A 6,623-nucleotide genomic window follows, 5' to 3' on the forward strand; every position below is an offset into this window, starting at 1 on the left:
ATGTGATAGTCTGAAATATGGCCTCATGGGATGAGAAAGACCTGACCGTCCCCCAGTCCGGCACCTGTAAAGGGTCTGTGCCGAGGTGGGTTAGTAAAAGAGGAAAGCCTCTTGCAGTTGAGATAGAGGAAGGCCACTGTCTCCTGCCTGCCCCTGGGAAGTGAATGTCTCGGTATAAAACCCGAGTGTACATTTGTTCAATTCTGAGATCAGAGAAAAACCACCCTATGGTGGGAGGTGAGACATGTTTGCAGCATTGCTGCTTTGTTATTGTTTACTCCACTGAGATGTTTGGGTGGAGAGAAGCATAAATCTGGCTTACATGCCCGTCCAGTCATAGTTCCTTCCCTTGAACTTAGTTATGATGTAGATTCTTTTGCTCACATGTTTGTTGCTGACCTTCTCCTTATTATCACCCTGCCCTCTTACTACATTCCTTTTTGCTGAAATAATGAAGATAATAATCAATAAAAACTGAGGGATCTCAGAGACCAGTGCCAGTGCAGGTCCTTGGTATGCAGCCCCTGGGCCCACTGTTGTTTCTCTATACTTTTTCTCTGTGTCTTCTTTCTTTTCTCAGTCTCTCATCCCACCCGACTAGAAATACCCACAGGTGTGGAGGGGCAGGCCACCCCTTCATCTGGTGCCCAATGTGGGGCTCGAACCCACAACCCTGGGATGAAGAGTCCCATGCTCCACCGACTGAGGTAGTCGGGCTTGATTTCATGGTTATAGTGTAATTGATGGTCATATGAGTTACTAAATACTAACTAAAACCAAAATATTTTTAATAAACAGTCAATTTTACTTTGTTTGCAAAGAAAAGTATCCAATATATATTTTTTTAAAATTCTGTTTGCCCATTGTAATACTGTCCATCATATGTAAAATGCTTGTGTTTAGATGTCAAAGTGTCTTCTTGAAATATGCATTATTACCTTCAAAACTGTAAATATATATCATTTAAGTTCTTACCTTGTATAGTCAGTTCAACCTTGAAAAATATTTCTTTCTATATTTTTTCTAAACCATTGTAGACTTTTGATAAATCTGGAATAAGATATTAATTGACTATTACTAGAATTGTCTAAATGCTAAATCAATTAATTCATATATTTATAACAAACTTTTTGTAAAGAAAAATTTAACATTTTCACAATGTTAGAAAAGAATGAAGTGAATAAAGAAGATAAATATTAAGCTTTGTAGCATATATATGCCCTTTTAAAATATAAGCATTTATATTTTCATCAACTGGTTAAAATTAATAAAAGAACCTGAAGTTTTCTATTTTATATCTAGTTTTAACTTCTTTACATTCATTTGTCTTTTTATGAAGAAACTTTGAGTTGGTATTTATCTGTGAAGTACATGCATTTGTTTTAGGATGACATAAAGTATGAAATCACTGAGAAAGTTGTGAAGGCAAAGTATTGCGTCTTAAGGTAATCTTTTGCATTGAATAATTTTCCTTAATACAAATGAAATTTAAAAGTTCTGAGAGAGGATAAAAATTGTAAAATTCGAGTGTGTGTATTTTTAATTCAATTATTTATTTTTCTTCATTACGATCCAAATGTACAGAAAAGTTAAAAGAATAATAACAAATACACACACATCCTTCACACAAATGAATAAATGGTTAAAACCTTGCCAAACTTGTTTCACTGGTGTATATCTTTCCTTCTGGCAGATCACTGCAGACATCAGAACCTCACACTCCAAAATACTTCACCATCCACCTCTCAGAGGTAAAGGGTATTAGCTCCTATGAAAATACAACCAAATTACCATGAATTGCCTACAAAAGTAAACAGTGGTGCAATGATATAATCAAGCAAAATATCTATTCTCAAATTTCATAGTTGGCTGCACAATTTCCTTTACCTTTTAATTTTTTAATCCATTTTCATTCCTTGAGTTTTTCTGTTATAGGTCTTTATTTAGTCTTCCCCAATCTAAATAATTTCCATTACTTCTCTGTGTTCTTCATAACATTAAAGGCAAAGAGTCCAGGCCAGTTACCTTGAAGAGCATCTTAGAGTGTCTTGTTTTGGGAATTAAATTTTCTTTTTTTCTATATTCTGGTCAATAATTTCTGCAAAGATACTGCATTGCTGATGTTGCTTAATTCCTGCTGTACAGTATTCATGTCAGGCTGCCCATATTGGTGATGGCAAATTTGAGCACTGAGTTAAGGAAGAGACAGATTACATTATTATGAATATATTTTTCAATTTGTAGTGAAGAAACAAAATATTGGATTATTCTTTGAGACCATGTAAATAACTTGTTCCTCAACAACCATTCACATAACTTAGCATTTCTTGATATTTTTTGCTTGAACTAATAATTAAATTGCGTTTAAAATATGATGATTTTCAAAAATGCCATCATTTGTTGTATAAAAATACACTGGTTTAATAAAAATTAACTGGTTTATTACTGCAAAGAACAAACTTTTCTCACTTATTTTTTGTATCTCTTCTCCCGGATTCAAGTAAATGTTTATTTAATTACACAATTTCAATTCATTACTGATTTATCTTTTTATTCTCCAATTGTTCTCACCATGATCAATGGGAACTTTTTCAATTTAGTCTTATATCCTATTTTTTGGAATGTTATTGAAATATGAAAGATGTACAGAAAAGTACACAAATAATTGTATTTATACATTTTCACAAAGAAGACAAATGCTTTTATCTGTTAATCAGATTAATAAAAATAAGTTTAAAAAACTATAGCAATTCTCTTCATGTTCCCTCCTAATTACAATTTTCCTGCTGGAGAGGGAGGGTTCCTGATTTTTAAGTTTTCTGGGGTGAACTGAAGAAGCCACCATATCTCACAGTCCTAGCAATCATTCTTAACATAATAGACAAGTGAAATAATCAAATGATTCTCTAAAACGTTTGCTTCAGAAGTAATTATTCATAATGCCACTACATGTCCATAGTTGCAGTTATCTTACTTCTCACTGGCTGTAACTAACATGAAGTCTAAAGATACATGCAAATAAATTACTAAATATCATGTCTAAGGATCTATTTCTGTGGCTACTCCTGGACCATAGGCTGAGCCCCAGCCAGGTCCTATCCAAAAGTAGAAAAGAAGTTAGATATGTCAAAACATAGAAGTTAATGTGAGGATATAATATACATTAATGGAAAAAAGAAATGCGAATAATAGACACAAGGTGATTGAAGATGCCATTTCTGGGAGTATCAGAGGAAAGTTGGAGGTGGTAATTAATAACTTCTACCTGCACGAAGGGCAATTTATGTGGCAAACATTTGAGGAAAGCAAACAAACAGGATGGAGCAAGTCTTTTCTCTTCCTTGATTCCTTCCTGTGACTCCTTTCTTAATTATAAAACTCCTTTCTCAATTATAAAGTCAGCTGGTATAAAGAAAAAGGTAATTTTCAGAGAACCAAACATAGCGTCAAAGAGTAGCTTAATGACTCTGATTTCTAACATTGTGGATTAGATTTCTCAAGCATTGAACATTAATATACGTATAGGAATATATATATATATATTATATACACATATATGTGTGTATAAATATATTATATAATATATATACACACATATATATAACTATGGCCAGGAATGACATTTGATTTAATGTAGAATGCTCCTCTCTTATGTAAGAAGAGTTAAATTTGTTTTTTTGCTTTATTGAGGTATAATTGCTATACAAAAAACTTTACACATTTAATGTATATATCTTGATGAGTTTAGACATCTGCATATACATGTAATACTATAGACATCTATATCAAAAAAGAGAAGAGAGAGCCCAGAAATAATCCCATGTACATATAAGAAACTAATCTTTTACAAGGATGGCAAGAACACACAATGGGGAAAGGAAGTGTGATCCACAAATGGTATTGGAAAAACTGCATATCCACATGCAAAAGAATGAACATGATGCCTATCTTATACCATACACAAAAATCAACTCAAAATGCAGTAAAGACTTAACTGGAAGACCCGGAACTGTAAAGCTCCTTGAAAAAACACAGGTGAAAATTCTTGACATTGATCTTGACAATAGTTTCTTGGATTCCACACAAAAGCACAGGCAGCAAGCACAAATATGGACAAGTGAGGCTACATTAAATTAAAAAGCTTCTGCACAAGACTGGAAACAAGCAACAAAGTTAAAAGCTATTCTGTGGAATGGGAGACAATCTGTGCAAACCATACATTTAATGAGAAGTTAATATTTATAATACGTAAGACTCTCCTACACCTCAATAGCAGAAAACAAAACAAAATGAAACAACCTGATTAAAAATTAGGCAAAAGATATAGATAGACGTTTCCCCAAGGACATTTACAGATGGCCAACAGTTATATGAAAAGATGCTCAATATCACTAATCAGGGAAATTCCGATCAAAACTCACATTTGCTAGGGTGCCTATAATGAAAGAAAAAAGACAAGTGGTACACTTTGGGAGGCCGAGGCTGGCAGATCACCTGAGGTCAGGAGTTCGAGACCAGCCTGGCTAACATGGTGAAACCCTATCTCTACTAAAAATACAAAGATTAGCTGGACCTGGTGGCTGGCGCCTGTAATCCCAGCTTCTCGTTAGGGTGAGACAGGAGAATCGCTTGAACTCGGGAGGCGGAGGAGGCAGTGAGCCGAGATCATGTCACTGTACTCCAGCCTGTGTGACAAGATCAAGATTCCATCTCAAATAAAAAAAAAAATACAAGTGGTACAAGCATTTGGAGAAATTGGATCACTTATATACAGTGTTGGTGGGAATGTAGGATGGTGCAGTCACTATAATAAACATTATAAAGGTTCCTCAAAAAGTTAAAATAGAACTACCATTCTATCCAGCAATCTCATTTCTGAGTATACATCCAAAAATTGCAATCAGGATCTGGAAGAGATATACATCAATGTTCATTGCCACATTATTTTTGTTGCAGGACTATCTTTAATATCCAAGATATAGAAACAAACCAAAAGTCCGTCAATAGATAGATGGATAAAGAAAATATGTTACCTACAACATAACATTACTCAGCCCGCCATTTGTGCCTTATCCTACCATTCGTGTCAGCATGTATGAAACTGGAGGGCGTTATGCTAAGTGAAATAAGCCAAGCAAAGGAGGACAAATACTGTATGATTCCACTTACATAAAATATCTAAAATAGTTAAACTCATAGAAGGAGAGAATAGAGTGGAGGTTGTCAGGGGCTGGGGGAGGAGGAAGTGGGCAATTATTCTTCAGTGAATATAAAATATCTGTTATATAAGATGCCATGGTATGAATAATGTCCTCCCAAAATTTATATGTTGAAACACAATCCCCAAACCGATAATATTAATAGGTGGGGTCTTTAGAGGGGCTCACTCTGCCTTCATAAATGGGATTAATGACCTTATAAAAGATATCTAATGGGCCGGGCACAGTGGCTCACGCCTGTAATCCCAGTAATTTGGCAGGCCGAGGCGGGCAAATCACGAGGTCAGGAGATCGAGACCATCCTGGCTAATACGGTGAAACCCCGTCTCTACTAAAAATACAAATATATATATATATATATATGTATTAGCCGGGCGTGGTCGCGGGCACCTGTACTCCCAGCTTCTCAGGAGGCTGAGGCAGGAGAATGGCGTAAACTCCGGAGGCGGAAGTTGCAGTGAGCCGAGATTGTGCCACTGCACTCCAGCCTGGGTGACAGAGAGAGACTCCGTCTAAAAGAAAAGAAAAGAAAAGAAAAAAAAAAGATGTATAATGGAGCTGTTCCTCTCCTTTGCCATTCCACCTTCTGCCATGTGAAGACACAGCAACAAGACACCATCTTGGAAGCAGAGAGAGACCCTCACTAGACACTGTATCTGCCAATACTTTGATCTGGGACTACCCAGTCTCAAGAAACGTCTGAAATGAATTTCTGCTATTAATAAATTCCCAGTTTGTGGTATGTTTTTATACCAGCAGGAGTGGACTAAGATTCAAGATGAATAAATTCTAGAGATCTCTGTATGATATAGTGCCAACAGTTAACAATAGAGTGTTGTGTACTTTAAAATATGTTGAGCACAGGCGTGGTGGCTCACGCCTGTAATCCTAGCACTTTGGGAGGCTGAGGTGGGTGGATCACCTGAGGTCAGGAGTTCAAGACCAGCCTGGCCAACATGGTGAAACCCCGTCTCTACTGAAAATACAAAAAAATTAGCTGGGCCTGGTGGTGCATGCCTGTAGTCCCAGCTACTCGGGAGGCGGAGAGAGGAGAATCACTTGAACCCAGGAGGCAGAGGTTGCAGTGAGCCGAGATTGTGCCATTGCATTCCAGCCTGGGAGACACAGAGAGACTTCATCTAAAAAAAAAAAAAAAAAAAAAAAAAAGCATATATATATATATATATATACACACACACACACACACACACACATAGAGAGAGAGAGAATAAATCTTACATTAAGTGTTCTCACCAAAAGAAAAAAAAAAAACTTCACAAAATAACATGGAAATTTTTGGAGGTGATGGATGTGTACTTCTTTCTGAAACCTTTCTTACAGTACCCTAGTCAAAAGGTTACTTTTTTTTTTCCTTAACAACTGATAATTTCTTATGCTCTCATT

The 6,623-nt window shown here is 36.0% G+C and overlaps 1 non-coding gene across 1 annotated transcript; it reads right to left on the bottom strand.

Moving 5' to 3' along the window:
* Nucleotides 1–644: 644 nt before the first annotated feature.
* Nucleotides 645–717, bottom strand: TRK-CTT9-1 (tRNA-Lys (anticodon CTT) 9-1). Its single transcript has one exon. It is a non-coding gene; the product is annotated as a tRNA-Lys (tRNA).
* Between the last annotated feature and the right edge of the window lie 5,906 nt (nt 718–6,623).

This window comes from Homo sapiens, chromosome 5, assembly GCF_000001405.40.
Source record: "Homo sapiens chromosome 5, GRCh38.p14 Primary Assembly".
Taxonomy (NCBI): Eukaryota; Metazoa; Chordata; class Mammalia; order Primates; family Hominidae; genus Homo; species Homo sapiens.